The sequence below is a fragment of the Homo sapiens genome, chromosome 4, assembly GCF_000001405.40.
Source record: "Homo sapiens chromosome 4, GRCh38.p14 Primary Assembly".
Taxonomy (NCBI): domain Eukaryota; kingdom Metazoa; phylum Chordata; class Mammalia; order Primates; family Hominidae; genus Homo; species Homo sapiens.
The window spans coordinates 151,562,555-151,582,651 of record NC_000004.12 but is presented as its reverse complement, the minus strand read 5'-3'; the positions used below and the strand labels follow the sequence as shown (position 1 = coordinate 151,582,651).

The window sequence follows — 20,097 nt, the reverse complement described above, 5'->3', positions numbered from 1 at the left end:
GAAACTAATCACCATGTAAAACCACAAGGATAACAACAGACAAAAAAGCAAACAACTTCCCTGGCAGCAGTATAGTGTGGCAGTTGCTGAGACCAAGGACTTAAGTATCAGACAAATGCAGTTTTGAACCAGAATCTGCCACTGACAGGCAGTTATTAAAGTTCTCTAAATTTCCATTTCTTCACTAAGTTGTTGCCAGGATTAAAGAAAATAATGCATCTACCAAGATTAGCATAATGTTTTACGCACAGAAATGTTTCCAATGAAGGAAAGAAAGATGACATACAAAAAAAAAAAGAAAGAAAGATGACATGCACAGAGCAGTGAATGAGTAATGTTTAACTTTAAACATCTAATGATATCTGGTTAATTTTAGCAAACACAAAGATTTTTGGCAGATGGCTTTAGTCTGAAGCTCGCAGCATAACACCTGGTAGGGACTATTTGATACAACTTGCTAAAACAAAAAATCTCATAAATTTTGGATACGGGATAAATAACATTCTACCTGTGGCTGTGTACCTAAAGGTCGCTTGCTTTAATTTGCATCACTTGATTTATGTACACACTGTTTTCTACATTTGCCAATATATAACAGTGGCATGGGCTTAACCATCAATATTTGGTTTTAAAAAAAAAAGTGACAGGGTCATTTAGTCCCCATCCTTTTGTTGGCACCAAATTGTTCCCTAGAGTATCTTCAATCTCCTTCTTTTCCTGGGAAAGCACATCTTGAGCTATGAGGCAGCAGAACCAGCAAGCTCTTCCTATCAACTATAACAGTAAAGGTTTCCAAAAGTGGTCCGATTTCCTGAAAGAGTCATTACTGTTCCAACAGCCTGATGCTAACACACTTTGACAATCATACTAATTAGAGAAACCTTTTTCTCAATTGTTGTCCTTAGCTGGATGGTTAATAGAGTATGCTTTTATCTTCAACATAAAGAGGGCTTTTTTTTTAATTATGTTGTCAGATGTAATTATAGAAAACTGGGTACAAATGAGATTATGGGATCTATCCTGAGGGGCAACTTAACACAATGAAGCTCGTGTTCCATTCTAGCAAACAAGGTCAGCTGGAGATGTTGTTTTCCCTCCAACTTTAATGATCTGTACAGTGTTTTAAAATATGTTTTTATAAAAGCAATGCTCAACTAAAATCTGCTTATGATGCAGTTAAATGGAAATCTTCTTGTCATATTTAAATTTTTAAATTATGAAATATGAAAAATATATAAAACATAATAGAAACCCATCACCAAGTGTTTCTTCAGAACACTCTGATTTTTTCAAACAATAAAAATTACAAATAGAACTGCACCCTACTCCAATCTCATTACCATCCCTTCCCTTCCTTCACCCCCAAAAAGCCACAGTCTTGAACTTAGCATATATTATTATCCTTGTGGTTATTTTGTACTTCTACTGTATACATATGTATCCAAAAAACAGCATACACTAAGATTCTGTGTTTTAAAATTTTATGTAAACTCTGGACGGGCGCAGTGGCTCATGCCTGTAATCCCAGCATTTTGGGAGGCTGGGCGGGCAGATCACTTGAGGTTAGGAGTTCAAGACCAGCCTGGTCAACATGGTAAAACTCTGTCTCTACTAAAAATACAAAAAATTACCTGGGCGTGGTGGCACACGCCTGTAGTCCCAGCTATTTGGGAGACTGAGGCATGAGAATCACTTGAACCCGGGAGGCGGAGGTTGCAGTGAGCCGAGATCGCACCACTGCACTCCAGCCTGGGTGACAGAGTGAGACTCTGTCTCAATAAATAAGTAAATAAATAAATAAATAAATAATTCAACATGTTTTTTGATTTACTGCTGTTCATACATATAGTTACATGATAATACACATGATTCATACACTTTGAATGCTGAAAAGTATTCCACTGATGTATGAATAAACCAGTTTATCTTTCACTTCACGTACTTATATTTTTCTGTTTTTCAAATCACTGTTTTATTGAACATCGTTGTATATGTATCTTTGTAAATAAGTGCCAGATTTCTCCAAGCCAGATATCTAGAAGGGAAGTTGCAGGATCACACAGTAGGCAAATATTCAGTTTTACCAAACATTGCCATACTGCTTTCCTGAGTTACTATACCAATTTATATTCTCAAAAGTTCTTGTTTTTTTCACTCTTGACAACACAGTTACCACTTAATACTTACTACTCTGATAAGTATTAACTGGTATCTCAATGCATCACCAATAGTGGGACAACTTAACACAGGTCCCTTGCTGTAATGCAATAAGTACATAGCATCGCTTGTAAAGTAACCTTGCCAAAAATATTTAACCTAAATTTAACTGGGCATGTAGATCTAAGTCCAATTTGCAGGAAATGCAGGGTTAGGGACAAGTCAAACTACAAAAGAAACAAACCCAGAATGTGGGGTGTTTTATAAGATAATGGCTTGGTCTCTTAAAAAGTCAATGTCATGGGGAAGAAAAGTGGCAGGTTGTTACTATATTAACGGAGACTAAAGAGACCTGATAGCTAGATGGATATCTTTTATTGGACTCTACAAATGGGGAGAAAAAAACTATGGAAGTAATTTGGGGCACAGTAGGAGAACTGGATACTAGTCGTATTAAGGAATTATTGTATAATGTTCTTAGGTACAATAACAGTATTGTGGTTATGTGGGAGAATATCCCCATTCATAGGAAACACAGACTAAAGTATCTAATGTCTGTAACTTAATTTCAAATGGTACAACAAAAACAAATAAAAGCATAAAATACCAAAGGATGGCAAAATATTAACAACTTTGAATCTAGGTGGTGTGCAGTGTTCATCTTAGTGTTTTAAGTTTTCTGTATTTTATTTTTTCTCATAATAAAAACTTTTTAAAACATAAATTGCATCAACTTTATAATTTGCAGGAATGTCTCATCTATACACTATCTACAAGCTGTAGAGCTTTCCATTTATTTAGATCTTTTATGCCCTTTATAATTTTCTCCATAAAGGCCTTTCATGTATTTGTTGGATTTATTTTAAGATATCTTATGATTATGTTGCTTTTGTAAATGGTATTTTCTAAATTGCCTTTTGCATACTGATCAAGTGAACCACCTGAATATTTTGATTTGTTACAATACCTGCTCTCCTTTAACAGCAGAATTACACAATTGAATTAAACAATTCAAATAAGCTAAAACCCAAACCACGTATAGCTCCCTCTCAAAACTGCCGTTTTGAAGAGGTTTTCTTTAGAGCAGTTTAAGGTTCATGACAAAACTGAGAGGAAGGTACAGAGATATCCCACATAGCCGCTGCCCCAACACATGCACAGCCTCCCGGATTATCAACATCCCCTACCAGAGTGCTACATTTGTTACAACTGATGAACTCACAGTGACACATTATAGTCACCCCAGAAACCATAGTTTACATGAGCGCTCACTCAGTGTTTTACATTCTATGGGTTTGGACAAATGTATATTGACATGTACCCACCATTCTAGTATCATACAAAGTAATTTGACTGCCATAAAATTCCTCTGTGCTTTGCTTATTCATCCCTCACCCTGCCCCAATGCTCAGGGGAAAAAAATGATCTTTTTACTGTCTCCATAGTTTTACCTTTTCCAGAATGTCGTATAGTTGGAATCATACAGTAGGTAGCCTTTTCAGATTGGCTTCTTTCACTCAGTAATAAGCATTTAGGTTCCACCATATCTATTCATGGCTTACCAGCTCATTTCTTTTTAGCTGAAAAATATTCCATTATCTGCATATATCCCCACTTTATTTGTCTATTCACCTGCTAAAGGACATCTTGGTTGCTTCCAAGTTTTTGGCAATTATAAATAAAGCTTCTATAAACATCCATGTGCAGGTTTTTGGGTGGACATAAGTTTTCAACACCTTTAGGTAAATATCAAGGAGTGCAATTGCTGGACCACATGGCAAGAGTATGTTTAGTTTAGTAAGAAACTGCCAAACTGTCTTCCAAAGTAAGTGTACCAATTTGCATTCCCATCAGCAACAAATGAGAGTTTCTACTCCTCCACATCTTGCCAGCATTTGTTGTTGTCAGCGTGGCCCCTGCACACTAACTGACTGTTGAACTCCCACTCCACCCCCCCATGTTCCTATGACAACAAAATACACTAAAACTAGTGGTCATTTTCTTGCTGAGAAACAAATTACTTTGTGAAACTAGCAGTGGAGGTCTTATCACATGCCATGATTCCTTGGAGCAAAATCAACCTGAAAAGCTAAGAATCAGAAAGCACAGGTTTTACCAATCTCTCAGGATATGCTCCTGGAACAACTAAAATCATTCTTAATGCAGTAAAAATTAACCAAAAATGGTAACACATCTAGCCTCCTTTGTTGGCTTATGATGAGCTGATGCTGCTCAGCCAAATAGCGTCTCAACTTAGATTCGTCTGCTCCCTCCAAAGATTTCCTCTAAACATCCTTCCATAGGAAGTGCCAAGTACAACTTACTGGGAGAAAAAAAGGGAGTAAGAAAGTATTCATCACTAGCAACAGAAGAGAAAAAAGGGAGTGAGTGGAAAACATGCCAAGGAAAGAGACTTACTGGACAAAAGTAGGTGTTCTCCACGATGTGATGGGCCACCATGGTGTTCTCAGCAGAAAGAGACATGATGAAGAGCAATGCATCCCGAGCTTGCTGGCCTACTGACCCCTCTCGGTGAATGAAGGGAATCAGAAGGGAGAAGATGAGGAAGTTGGCAGCGCCTTGGTCTTCACTAGTGTGGAAGAAGAGTTCTAAAATGGATGGATCTTTGGCAAGAATGGAACAGAGCTGATTGAGTAGGACAACCAGCTTCTCCTCCACAGTGGGGGTGGTTGTTCCTGAACAAGAGCTCAGCAACATCATCAGAGGCTTCAGAATGGGTTTGTGGTGCAGCAGAGGCTGGTGCGACTGGGTGACCAACATCTCATACATCTTTAGCTGCTCAATTTTAGTCTCATCAGTAAACTCCCTTCTCAAGCTCCAAAGGAAAAGTTTCTCCATGATGTTCTCAGAGACCACAAATTCCAGAATCGGCCCCATTGCAGCATCTTTGGCTTGCTCTTCAATCAACAAGAAGAGCATGTGTTCTACGTAATTCTGCACGGCACTGGCCTCATCTGGAGGGATAGACCCATATTTTGCCTGGGTGTTCTTCAAGGGGTCGTGCTTCTCCAAGATTTTCACAACCTGTAACCAAGTCAAGCATTTGTCATCCATCTGATGTTTATCATAATTACAAAAACATATCACCACTGATTTTACCAAATTGTCACCAAAAATGCAGGAGCCACTGCCCACAAGATATGTGTGGGCATTGTGTGTGTGTGTGTGTGTCTCCCTCTCAAACACTAAAATGAAGGAGTTAAACTATAGAAAGAAGATGTCTGAAGATGTTTACTTACACAGTTATAAATTTCAACAATCTAAATATTGAAGAAAATAGTATGGTTATATAAATTAAGCTACATGCATTCTTTGGATTATTTATTATGAACATAACTGAGGAAAATGAGAAACTGTAAGTGATATGTTAGATGAAAAAAGCAAGCTATTCGTAGATGTTAGATGCATAATAATTATGTCAAAGACGTATGTAAAAAAATATGCAAAAAGAATCATTTTGATGTTCAAAGTCGTGACAAATTCTTAAATTTTTTTCTAGATTGTTGATGTATAATATTGCTTTTTAATTTTAAAATACATTAAATAAGCAAAAGGAAACCATACTACCCATGTTCTCCTACAAATAGAATTGCTTTGGAGATCTCAGCAGAGGAACACAGCTACTCATATGCCCTTGACAGAACAATATCCTCCCTTCCCTACTTGGATGGATGCCCTCTTCAACCAAACATGCAGCAACAGAAAAGATTAAAGGAAACTGATAAACAAGAGACATACAACTAGTAGAATCAACCCTAGCATATGGCATGTACTGAAACTAAAAAATGAAGGGTTTGAATGCTGTGTTTCTTTAAGCTTAAAAATTCTGAGACAACCAATTATGAAACAAATTCCTAAAGTTTGGAGTGATTAAAAAGTTTTGGAAATAGAGCTGATAATTAAGCACTTTGGGAGGCCAAGGTAGGAGGATCACTTGAGCCTAGGACTTCAAGACCAGCCTGAGCAAAATAGTGAGACCCTATCTCTACAAAATAACTTTAAAAATTAGCTGGGTGTGGTGGTGCATGCCTTGAGACTCTGAGGTATTAGGATCATTTGAGTCCCAGGAGGTTGAGGCTGCAGTGAGCCTTGATGGTGCCATTGCACTCCAGCCTGGGCAACAGAGAAAGACCCTGTCTCAAACAAAACAAAAAACAAAATTGGTTAAGGTGGCCTATTTTGTTATATATACTTTACCACAAAAAACTCAATTAACAATTTAAATAAAAATCCCTAAATAGGTCACCTCACAGCCCTAGTCAGCTTCTCTCCTTTCCCACTGCTAGCATCTGAAGGTTTCTCACCTTTCTCTGCCAACAGATACTTACTTCCACTTTGCGACCTGGAAACTAAAACAATCTGTTATCTCAACTTCCATTTAACTTCATGACTTAGAATTTCTGGTATAATATTCATTCCATTTACTCCCTTGAAAATATACACATACGATAATTTTTAAACAACCAAACATTTATCAATGACTTTATCTTTGTCCGTTTTTGCCTTTCTGAATTGCATGGAATCTATGTGTCTTTTGCAGTACCCTCCAGGTCCAGTCCTATGATGTGCTGTTACATGTTCTGTGCAAGTACTTAGGTTATGGAATTTTTGCAAGTCATTGGGGAAGCTGGCAAAGGGATAATGCATGCATGAGCAATGAGGGAAATTTGTTTCTCAGGGAAATGTCTAAGTCTCTCCCTTGTCAGAAACAGGGAAAAAAATCGTTATAGACCAGGCAAGTCCATCCTTACAGAATAAAAGAATTTCCACAGAAAGTATAATCTCTATTGACTTCCATTATAAAGTTGATAATGCTGTGTCACAAAGGCAAAAAAATCACCCTAACACCCTTAAGTTGACATTTTTAATAAGGAAGGCCTTTGGCTAGCCCCTACCCAGGGAGTACCTGGCCCACTGACTAGTGGCCACAAGACAGCCACTAGACATCCTCTTCTTTGCTGCATGCCTGACTCCAAAGTGCACCCACTATCCTACAACCTCCACCAAGCCCTCCAGGATTCCTTGCACCTGGTGACCTTCCTAGCAGCAGCAACACTGGGACCTGGTTCTCTCCCATCCCTTTGTTCTGGGCCTTACCAACATCTCAATAGAATGCAATCACAGTACCACACTGGTCCAAAGGGACCCTCTACCTCCACACCACACATGGTCCAGCCCCAAAAGTCCCTAACTTCAAGCCTCCACATTCTGAAGAACAAAATTCATGCCTTATCAGTTCTATAATTTCAAAGTCCATATATTGAGTTTACTTAGGAGAGCTATCTTTACAGCTAGGCCTCAGGGTAAAAATGTAATTATACTTTTCATGTGTGCCCAGACTGTCTAAACTATCTAAAACTGGGGCTGTGCTTTATACATTGATGGTGGAGTGGCAAATTAGCTCAATCTTTCTGGAAAACAATATGGCAATATGTAATAGGAGCTATAAAATTGTTCCTGCCCTTTGACTTGTTAATCTGACTTTGGGGAAAATGCCCCAAGGAAACAACCCAAAAATAATTTGCTAAAAAATGTTCAATTTTCCAATAATGAAAAAAAAAATACTATTGACTCAAATGGTCAAGAATAAGAGAATTAGAATCAAAATATGTTATATCACCATACAATAGACCCATCAAAAATAAATACTAAGTAAATTCGTTTTATATCATTAAAATGTAAGTTAAAAAGCAAATACATTGCCAAGTAGATATATGATTGAGTCTAAAGAGATATAAATGAGATTTTAAGGTTAATTAGTTATTCCTTCCTGTAAGTTTACCTAATTTCATAATTTAAATAAAAACAAAGGTAGACAAAGTAATCATGTACTAATGCCCAAAAAAGACCAAACCATTGAGTTTAAAACAATTAACAATTAGAGATCTCTTAAGACTCAGCAATTTCTAAGCAATATAAATTTATAAATATGCATATGTATTTATATTTTATATATACAATATATGTGCATGCAAATATGAAAGATACAGCAAAAGTCTATTTACATAACCATAAATTGTATTTTTCTCATTAACTTTCATTTATATTATTTATTCCAATTCAATCCTTTACAAACAGACCTCTTTTTGCTATGAAAAACTTTAAAAAGAGAACTAAGATTTTTATACAGAATGCAAACTGTTTAGCAGCTTTTAAACTGAAGCATCTTTACCCTCTTTATAGTAGTTCCCTTATACTGCCTTCAGATGGAGCAGACACATTGAAGACCCAGCTCTAACCCACTGGTTTTACTGCCTGGAAGATGGGTGTGTTATAACCAATGTATGTGAGTCATGGAACACACAAGGCTCAGCAAAGTGCTGATTATGCTTGTGTTGCCACATGTCCTTAACCTCTCTCCTTAGGACCTTCCCAGGCTACCTCCTTTTCCTTTCCAGGCAGACACACCCATGACCTGCTTTTACAAGCGGGCTCTGGTGGCCCAACCTTGGGACTGGTTCCTATGTTGGCAGGGAATGCCTAAGAAGCTTCTTGACTAGAGCACAATTTGCACTGAAATGCCAAAGAACTTCTGTCCCAATGTCCCAAGTTTGTCACTCCAATAGTGTCATAGTTCTTTCAGTTTCTATAAACTGATCTCTGATGTGACCTGGACTTTTCCTTATTTTTTCCTTTTGTGCCCTCTTTTCATATCACTCCCATCAAACTCCAATATTTCTGTGTCCCTGATTTCTGCTTGCTGAGAGTTCCACCCACATACCAACTTTTACCTTCCAGTGCTATGGATGCCACGATTTCATGCTGCTCACAGTGGCTCCCCCGGCCTGGTCTACTCCTGATTACCAGCTGTCTTATACTCTCAACCTTGACTCATTTCCCATACCTGGCTTCTTCTCAGCTATCTAGACAGTCTCAGGGATTCAGCTCAGGAGAAAAAAAACAAAATTAATGGGGCCAGAGGGATCTCAGCAGGTAAAAGAATGAAAGCAACCAAAATATACTTTGCAAATATTTCCAAATTATAAAACAAATTTACTTTGTTAGGCTGAAAATACCATTTAAAAAACTAATCAACACCTCAACACCTTATAAAGCCCACGCTCATTAATTAAGTAAACCAGCTGAAATCAGAAATAGCAACTTAAACGTTTTGCGGATCATAGCTAGACATTTGTTGATCTACAAACTTTAAGAAACGCAGACATGTGTGTGTGTGTATGTGTGTGTGTGTGTGTGTGTGTTTGGATGCATCATTAGCCTTGATCACATATTGATCCTAAATGTAAAGTATCACAATTCCAAAAAGAAAGAAACACATAAAAATCAACAGTGTGAACAATGCTCTTAAAAATATCGAATTTATAGAGCTAAATTTAACCTAATTTCAAAGCCATTTGACTTAAAAATGTGAGAATTACTGGGGCTAAATAAGATTAATAAATAGCGTATTTCTTTCACTAAGTAGTATCAGATACTCCTATCCTTATCCCTTATGATGGCCCCTGTGACCCAATGATAATTGGCCTGAATTTCAAATGGCCACAAATTCTAAACAGGAAGTGCAAATGCTTTCAAAATGAAGGCTCTACATAAATCACTTAATTGTATGTCAGCTACAAATGATTACCCTTCAGGATAAACACAAGTGTTTCTCTCTCAGGAGACTAGCTTTGATTCCACTTAATATTATTCTATGTCTTACATACATGCATGTATCAGTAGGTAATTATTTATGCTACCAAAGTTAGAGCCTAGTTATTTTAAGAAAGTCATATGTGTAAAACCCATACTTCCAAATCCTTTGGAATGCTAAAATAAGGTGGCATTGTGGAAAAAAACAAGTTACTATGCAATATTTTCCAACACACTGAAGGGCAAGATTTAGCCATCTAAAGCCAAATTCCACTTAATGTACCAAATAACTACACAAAAGTTTCCATACAGTCCTTGTTCATTACTTAACAGCTGTGTCTTTCAGTATGAAGTGTTCCTTGTGCATCTGTTTCCACAGGGAGACCTCTACCAAGTCACTTCTTTTTATATTAAGATAACAGCTTTATAATACGTATTCACTTAACACCAGTTTTTTAATGTCAGCTCCAGCCCTGAGCTCCAGAGGCTTGCCTAAATCTTGGATAAAACAGTTATGGAAAGGCCTTATGAGTAATGATCCAAATAATAATATTTCAAAGAACACTAATTTCAACCACAGCAAAAATCAAACTTACCACCAAGCACACAGTAAGAGAGCTGCTGACATTTCAACATGCTCAAGCATTGTATTTCTATTTTAATTTTTATTTTTTGAGATGGAGTCTCGCTCTGTCACCCAGGCTGGAGTGCAATGGTGCAATCTCAGCTCACTGCAACCTCTGCCTCCTGGGTTCAAGCAAGTCTCCTGCCTCAGCCTCCCAAGTAGCTGGGATTACAGGCATGTGCCACCACACCTGGCTAACTTTTGTATTTTAGTAGAGATGGTGTTTCACCATGTTGGCCAGGCTGGTCTCAAACTCCTCACCTTTGGTGATCCGCCCACCTCGGCTTCCCAAAGTGCTGGGATTACAGGCAAGAGCCACTGCACCCGGCCATGCTCAACCACTTTAGAGTCTGATAGAAGTGCAAGTTAATGCCTCGGCCATCTAACTTAAGAAGTATAACTTTGGTTCACTTTACCTTCTACTGTCAAGGCTAGAGCTACCTGTAAGTCTTGGAAGAGAGAGAGAACTTTTTGAAATGTTAACAAACATCAATTTACTAAGATATTTAGAAAATGAATCAGAGTTCTCTAATACGTCCCAACTGTTCATCTCTCAAAGGCTTTACTTAATTTTTCTCTGTCATTTAGTCTAGTACAAGGCACAGAGCAAAAGAGTGGAGATGAGCAGAGCAAGGGAATGAGACTCAAATACAGTACACATGTCAAATCCATGCATGGATGCTCTAGACTTTAGATTCGGGCTACTTGGAGCTCCACACAAAATACCATAACTCAAGTATATTATCTGTTTTTCATTTTTGTGGGAAGACATTTGACTTAATTAACCAATCTAGATGGTTCTGTTTTTTCCCATCCCTACCCCCTCCAAGATGAAAAAGGTTACTAAACCCACTGACTTTTCCTCATCCATCACTATTACTTTATTTGAGCTCTGATATTTTCTTAGCCTAAAAAATTTTTAAACAGCTTATTTTTAAAGGCTGAAGGTAGAAAGAAGTCATTCTGGGCTATTAACTAACTAGAAGCAAAGACAGAAATGTGCATTTCCAATTGATTTGTTTTAACCCACCTCCTCTGTTCTCCTGGCTCTAAGAGCAGAGACCTTTTGGAATTCAATGCTTGAAAGGAGCAGATAGAAAATGAATAGAGCAAGGTCCATGAAGCTTCAGAAAGTACAATTGTGCCATCAAAAATAACTAGTGTAGGGAATTTAATTCACATGGCAGTCTAGTTGAATAGTTTATTGCCTGGTGGGCTAATGCTTCTTACTATTTCTGTCCTCTTTTCCATTCAGATAAAAACAAAGAAACAAAGGCAAGAGATAAAAACAACAGTCTACTAGAGAATAAACTGTTCTAATAGACTACTATAAAAATTAAGTATATACACACACTCTTCCAGATCATTTAATGCCAAGTCCAAAGATCTTGCCGGTGACAAATTATACAATGTTTTAAAATTAGTGTATGTTGAAAGCTGTTTCCTAAGTTGCCTAGCTCTTTTAAACTTGTATTTCATACTGACTGCCTTTCAGTTCAATCATTTATTGAACATCTACTATATGTCACACTCTGTTCCGGGCAATGGGGATGTAAGTTACAAATGGCCTCTGATCTTGAGGAGCCCGTAATGAGTGTGAAGAAGATACTGTATATGTAATTTTAATAAAAAGTGGTTGGGCTACACGCAGTGGCACATCTCTGCAGTCCCAGCTATTTGGGAGACTGAGGGAGCAGGATCTCTTGAGCCAGGAGTTCAAGGCTGTAGTGTGCCATGATCACACCTGTGAATAGCCACTGCGCTCCAGTGCAACATAGAGAGACTCTCTCTCTAAAAATATAAGTAATTAAATTAAAAGGTGGTTGGTGTAAGAGTGATAGAATACTCAGGTTAATGCTTGAACATGGGGTGGGAGCATGAAAGAGGGCAGGGAAGGTTTCTTAGAGCAAATGATCCCTCAAATGAGGCCTGTAGAAGGACAGGCATTTAACCAGTGGGAGGAATATTTCAGGCAGAAAGAAGAAGGAGTGCCTAAGGCACAGAGGGATGAAACAGCATGATGGACGCTGCCAGGAGAGGGGGTGGCTAGGAACCCCAAGCAACTTTGCATTTTTGGAGATTAAATGAGAGGCAGAGAGTAACAGAAGCCAGGACGTAACAAATTCTGTGTGTCATCCTGGGCTGTAGGTGGCCAGATGCCACTGAAAGGTTCAACCAGAGGAATGAACCAGACAGATCTGGGTTTGAGATTCATTGCTCTGGCAACTTATAGCATAAAATGGCATCTCAGAAGGTGACAGGAAGTCAGGGGCTACTTTCTACAGCCCAGACTCTTCAGTGTCACTATTTGGAATGCAACCATTCCTGAAAGTCTACTCTAGAATGATTCTGGGGATGCCATGAGATCACTGGACCCAGAAGCAGTTGGGAACCTCAAGTGCACCACTGGGCCATTTAAGGTCTCTCCCCTGGCAACTCTCCAGAATCACAGACTGCTTGGATGATGGCTGGTTGTATAACTAGCTGCCTCTGACAGGCTCTAAGGTATAAGTGGGCAAGCAGATCTCCTCCATCAATGTTTGCTTTTTAACTCAAGCTCTGGAAAAGAGGCTATTAACAAATAGCAGAACAGAACCTGTCAAATACAAGTTAATTATGTTGAATTTATACTTAAGTCTCCTAACATACAGAACTTGGGATACCACAGGCTTTTGTTGCCTTCATTTTTTCCTTTTTTTTTTTAAAGACATTGTCTTGCTCTGTCACCCAGGCTGGAGTGCAGTGGCGCAATTTCGGCTCACTGCAACCTCCACCTCCTGGGTTCAAGTGATTCTCCTGCCTCAGCCTCCTGAGTAGCTGGGATTACAGGCACCCGCCACCATGCCTGGCTAATTTTTGTATTTTTAGTAGAGATGGGGTTTCTCTATGTTGGCCAGGTTGGTCTCAAACTCCTGACCTCATCATGTGCCCGCCTCATCCTTCCAAAGTGCTGGGATTACAGGCGTGAGCCACAGCGCCCGGCCAACACTTTTTGCTAATTTAACATTTAAAAAAGCATTACACTGGGCAGGTAACAGACACCTGGGCAAATAAAATGCTTCCCAGCTTTGTCTATGCCTCATTCCCTACCAGCCTTACAGGTTTTTCTTGGGTTGCCTCAGGTGAACCCAGGGGCTGCAGTCACAGTAGGCCTAGGAGCTTATGTCAAACTGGAGCTCTTTTCCCAATCCTCTGCAACTGCTCTTCACCCACCCCAGCCCAACAACTCACAGCCAAGAGCTAACGTATGAAACTCCAAAACAACAAATAAGTAGCATTCATTTCCCCCAGCTGAAGATCTCATTCCTTATCTTACTTTTGGTCCCACATCTCTGCCTGGCTCTGATTTTTTTGCCTTCCCCTCTTTTATATGTACCATCCAAAAAAGCTGAAATTGAGCATTTATTCCTAGTATCCATTCTCTGAAATATTATTTTCCTGTCTGTCATCAAAACCTTCCTTTTCCATAGCCAACGTAGCAAAATCTCACTTTCTCCATTCCCAGGCCATTTCCAGCCATAATAGCCCCTTCTCTTGACTTAATTCCTGTAATCATGGTTATTCATTTTGTAATAATGTATCTTGCATTGTCATCTGAATTAGCTTATACATTTTTTAAAGCCCAGACCAAGGCTTATACATTCTCAAGTCCCACGTGTGATGCCTACAGCGACATGCCTGGAGTGTGTGCTCAGTAAATCTCCATTGAACAATAACACTTTTACATTCACATAGATTTCTTCAACCAGCATTTTCATTCATAAAGATAACAGAAAGGCCCTCAAGAGCCTCTGTAGGCAGAGACTGAGAGCATTTTCCAGATTTATTTAAAAGGAAACATCAAGCCTAAAAAAAGGTTAAAAACACCTGTCCAAAGGTAAAGAAATGGCTGAGCCAACAGTAAGACCATGAGTGTCTCAACTTTATAAAAGAAAATATTTAACAACTAAACAGTATCCCCTATGACAAAGTTATCCTTACCTTCAACTCAAGACTTGTCTGCACTGAGAGTACTATGTATCTGTACTGTGCTTCAGAGAACCCAAAATGTGCAATAATACTGAAGTCATTTGTATTGTTATGGAAATGAATAATATGATTCTGGGACCAATAGTCTTTCAACAATGTGACACAATGTACTGGCACATTCCTCACATTTGGAGAAAGCCTGCCTGGGACAGAATCTGACAGGGCAGATGACCCACCTACATATAATCAAGAAGTTGATGATATATCATGTCTTTGGGAAGTGGCACAGAATACTAAATGGATCATATCACAGTTACCCCAGCAGAAATGATTATAATCAAAGGTATTATGCGCAAACGAATAAACAAAATGGGCTGGGAGCGAAGATTACGTAGTAAGATAGACTTCCTAAGCCTAATGAAATGACTGGAGCTGAAAATGTTCTCAGTTAAAAACATATGATTATGCACTAATAGATTTTTTAAATAAGCACAAATAAATAAATTAGTAATCATACAGACACTAATATACAAATGTATAATGTACGTTTTAAACACAAAACAGAAATTTGTAAAAGGTAAAGATAGAAACAGACCTTCTAAAATATTCTTCCTACACCCAATGAACTACTGGGCTCATTCCTTAGGATTCACCACCTCGCCTTGGAGATACTGCTTTAAAATATTTATAAAAGTGCAAAGCCAAAGGTTATTACTCTAATTATCTGGAAAACTCCTAAATTACTTTCTTCCCTTAACTAAAGCATATGTGCCCTAATGTCCATAGCAAATCCATTAAAATTCTAATGGTAAAAGGTCAGAGAATGCACAAAAAATCGGAGAAGGTTTATACTAGATAGTAACAAGAAGCTACAAAGTATAAACGGCTCAGAAGCAGAATTGATTTTGCTTGGTTTTGATCTAAACTGTGTCCCCTATAATTGCTGTGATTTACAGGCTCAGTGCTTTAACCAGTGTGCTGTTTCCGGCCACAAGAAGGAACTGGGTAGTCATTAAAAAACTGTCACATAAATAGCCACTTACCAGCTCACCTGGGGAGTGCAATGTTGGGCAAGTAGTAAAGAATGACAATTTTATTTATTTTACTATGTGTAAACTCCCTAAGGAAAGGGGCGGAATAGTAAATTTTCTGAACATTCAACCCTTAATTATCCACACAGCAGATCAGAGAAGTCAAAGTAAATAATCAAAAAAAATTTTATAATCACTTTGTAATGAAGACATATATTCAGGTATACTCAGGCGTTTTTCATTAAATTACACAGGGACCACCAGCCCCAAAATGGTAGAGCACAGAGATCAAACACACGAGCTTTGGAGTCAAGGCACCAAAGCCTAAGTAATGGGCTTAGTAACTTACTAGTTGTATAACCTTAAGCAAGTTATTTAACCTCGGTAATTTTCTATTCCCTCTTCTGTAAAATGAGGAAACTAACATCAGCTACCTTACAGGTTTGTGGACAAGATTAAATGACATAAGGCATTTGAAGTACTCAACAGAGTACTTGGTAAATGTTTAATAAATGTGTATTTTAGTATTATTAGAGCTTAAGAACTGGAAGGAAATCAGCAGGGAAGAGAGAGAGAGAGGATATAATTATGGTCAAGTATATTGCAAAGCGATATAAAAGTCACTTTAAAGAACAACTGCTGTTCTTCTAAAAATATCCAAGTAACATGCATGTACCCTAATTGCTTTTGTGAAAACCATGGTTTTTGACCAGATACCTATTCTAGGAAAGCAAGAAGAAAAAGTTACTTTTCTTCCTATCTGAAAGAGTTTCCCTCCCTGTGTTTCTAGCAATCTAGTTACCTATCACAGAGGTAGAAAACCCTGATTCAGTGTGATGGAGGCCCCTGGGGTTACTGAGACCAGCAAAAAAAGTGGAATTCATACATTACCTGTGCCCAGTGGTTTTTAAATACAATCATGCATGTTTCTGGGTCAACTCCCTGTAGGCTCACAGCCTGCTGGAGTTTGCTTTCTGTCGAAACCGATGACATCATAAGCCTTCATAAATCAATGCTTCTAAGTCATATTTAATTTTCATTAAAATTTGGTAAGCCGTCACTAACTTTCAAGTTTGAGAAATGTAACTTCTTCACATTTCATTGTCACCTTCCAAAACCTGTAATGGCAATAATAAAAAAATGAATTTTATTATGTTCATAAATTAAATAGGAAACTGACTATTAAATTTAAATCAAAGCTTAGACATTCTCAAAGTCCAACACAGAAAAAAATCTACAAAACAGATATTATACTCAATCTAAAGGCTCTCCTGTTTTCTCCTACTTTGCTACTAAAAATACAAAATAATAATGCTAGCTAAGATACATGAGTAAATGAAACAATTATTGGGTTTCTTCTCTCCACTACAACCAGCCACAACCCCCCAAAATTACTATTCTAAAGCACTCAAGCTCAAGTCTAGTTCCTAGAATCAAGTAAGAAACTATTAGGTTGGTGCAAAAGTAATTGCGGTTTTTGCCATTACTTTCAAGGGCAAAAACCGCAATTATTTTTGCACCAAACTATTATGATACCAGTGTTTGCAGAGTTTAAAAACACTCAGTAACAGGAAAACCATGAGTTAACAGCAAGAGAAATAAACGGCTTGATGCAACTTGGGGGAGGTGTTATAAAACAGCACCCAGATTCCTGGGTCTAATTTGATTGAATATTTTTTTAAATCAATGGCTGTCAGAATTGAAAGGATTCTCAATCATTTTGTGGCTATAAACTAGGTTAAAGTTTCTAGCTTTTCTGAAAAATAATGGAATTCCAAGTAACCTTGACAAATCAGAGATAGAAATGATCCATCAAAAACAAGATAGTGTTTATTAGGTGTGAGTGCAAGGTAGCACACTTACAAATGAAAAATGAAACATGGAAAAAATACAAAGAAATCCTGACTACCAGACAGCAAGTAGGGGAAAAAAGAAATTGAGGTCATAGAGTGTACGGTGAATATGATCCATTTGTGTGGCACTGACGAAAGCAGTAAGGCAGTGGTATTGTCTCACTAGTTTGATCAGCCCATAAAAGGACTGGGTATAATTCAAAATATTATTTTTTTTCGTGTACAGATTGGGAAGAGTTCAGAAAAAAAGTAATTACAACTACCAGAACCCTGGAAAACAAAAGCCATAATAAAAGTTTGTAGACTTGTAATGTCAAAAGAAAACAGGGGGTAGCCATTATCAACACAGTAATAGGAAGGGTATTACAAGGAGAACACCGATCGGCTATTCCTCCCTACAAACAGTAAGATGGGAGAAAGTGGGCTTCAGAGGAGACTCAGGGGTTAAGTTCCTTGTGGGGAGTAGAATTAGACACTGGAAAATAGTTTAGGAGTATTTAAAACAAGCACTTCTGTTAGTAGGAGGGCAACCATTCGACATGAAAAGGTCTTAGAAAGAATTTTTGGGACATAAGAACAGAACACTTGCAAGCATAGTACTGAGGAAAGAAACATTTTTGAAAAAGAATGGAGGAGGGTTAAGGTATATAGAAAGGACGACCTGTTAGAAGAAGTACACAAATCACATACTCCAGGAAAACTGCCTGTGTGTTTCTTCTACAGCTGTATTTTATTATGAAAATTGAATTCCCCAAACTAAAATTCCAAATACTACAAACTTGTTTTCAGTGGACACTGTCCAGTGGCAACCATAGTCCTTTGCTACTATTGGGTCCATCTGGTGTTTCAAACATCAAGAGTGGCTATCCCACATTTGCAGGGTACGCATTCTCCCGTCCCCACAGTCCCTGCCACTCCCTGTGATCTTACTGCCAGAACCTTCACCTCATTCAGGTTACCTCACTAGCCCTTATAAACATTTACATTTACAGCCTTGTTTTAAATGATAAGAGATAAAACAAGATTCTGAATCAACTTCCTTGTTATTCTACACACTACATTTCTGTGAAAATGTCAAGGCCTTTCATTTAGGTTACATAATGATCATAACGAAGAAAATCAAAGTTTTGTGTTATCCCAGAGATCGAAAAGCTACAAGACTCAGGTCTTTCCAGCTCCAGAATTCAAAGATTCTTCTTCAAAGGTATGAAAGGAACATACATCATGCCAATTGCTTCTAAATCAAAAACAGAAAGATATGCTAAGATCCTTCAAGTTAGTTTTCAGAAGGAATTTACATGCAATCTTCTCAGAAACGGTGAGAATGCAGTATAGACAGGATAAATAGCCAATGTCATGAGCTTACTAGTTTGCTGTTGTTGTTGTTTGTTGGTTGTTGTTGTTGTTTTATTAGAGACAGGGTCTCAATCCGTCACCAGGCTGGAGTGCAGAAGCCATCATAGCTCACTGCAGCCTTGAACTCCTGGGCACAAGCAATCCTCCCGCCTCAGCCTCCCGACTAGCTGGGACTACAGGCATGTGCCACCACACCTGTCCAATTTTTTTTTTATTTTTTGTACAGACAGGGTCTCCCTATGTTGCCCAGGCTGGTCTCGAACTCCTGAGCTCAAGCAATCCTCCCGTTTTGGCTTCCTAAAGGGCTAGGATTACAGGCATGAGCCACCATGCCCAGCACAAGTTAGTTTTGATAGAAATAGAATATAAATCTCTATATTCCCAGTCCAATGCTAAAACTCCCAAGAGAAGAACAGAGGACAGAATGGAGGCAAAAGCTGTAAGTAGGTAAAGCAGCTGCAGTCACTAAAATATGAGTCTGTCATGAATATGGCATCATCAGACGTTTCTCCTTTCTTTCCCTCTGCACTCTTCAGTCTAAGGTACGTGATGTCAAAAATGTTTCAAGTAAACCTTGCCACTTTTGGCACACATCCAGTCTGTTCTTCCCGTAAAGACACACATGCACATTGACTCAAATTTCATGCCTGAGAGAGAGCTCTACAAACCATTTAGATGCCAAGGAGTGATTTTTTTTTTATCTTTCTTCAAAAAAACCACCAACACAAAAAAAACACTCAAAGAACTCTGCAACAGTGGGTGCATGTAGGTGTGTGGTGTGGTTGAGTTTTTTGGTTGTGGTAATGGGCAAGAAAGAGATGAGCTGTCAAAATATATATACAATAGCTTGATATTTCAGCATAAATTCTACACTGCAAAGACAGAACTGACTATAGACATTATTGAGTGGCCATATTTATATCTCATTAATATTATATATAAAAATACTTTCCATCAATAAGGAAAGAAAAATTATATTAAATATTGTTAGAGACAGGGATAACTGGCCAAATAATTATATCTATTTTTATTTGCTGTTTTTCAAAAATATATTTATTTGACGATGCAAAAAGCAAAACATATGCTTCCACCTTACAGAATTATAAAATATATCATATAATCATAAAAGCTCAGATTCTAGCCATCTAAATCACACCTCTTTTCCAATGTAAAAATTTCTTCACTTTTTCCAGTGTAAAAACTTCATTCCCAGATAGACATCTTACCCAACTTCAGACTATTTGGACAGCTACAATAATTAGAAAAGCTAAAAATATGTCAAAATCGCATTTCCTCCTGAACTTTCAATAACTATATTTTGATATATCCCTTTCTCACTATCAGACTAAACTTAAATTATAAACATCTTGGCATTTAAATATTATCTCATACAATCCTTCAATTCTTTTATCTGTTTAAATAAATACTCTCTAATGATGAACTATTTTTAAAAATTCTTAAGGGAAAGAAATGGAATGGCCACCTTAAGGGG

General features: G+C 37.9%; 1 protein-coding gene and 1 pseudogene across 9 annotated transcripts in view; both read right to left on the bottom strand.

Moving 5' to 3' along the window:
- Positions 1 to 20,097, bottom strand: part of FHIP1A (FHF complex subunit HOOK interacting protein 1A) — a 261,328-nt gene that overhangs the window by 87,852 nt on the left and 153,379 nt on the right. For all 9 annotated transcript variants that reach the window (XM_024454201.2, XM_047416127.1, XM_011532221.3 and 6 more), the window contains 2 exons: positions 16,288 to 16,514; positions 4,576 to 5,202 (listed from right to left, as the gene is read on the bottom strand). In XM_024454201.2, the coding sequence (XP_024309969.1) occupies positions 4,576 to 5,202; positions 16,288 to 16,392 (732 nt within the window). In that variant the 5' untranslated portion in view covers positions 16,393 to 16,514. The remainder of the gene's footprint in view (positions 1 to 4,575; positions 5,203 to 16,287; positions 16,515 to 20,097) is intronic.
- On the bottom strand, positions 5,736 to 5,886 carry RN7SKP35 (RN7SK pseudogene 35; annotated as a pseudogene).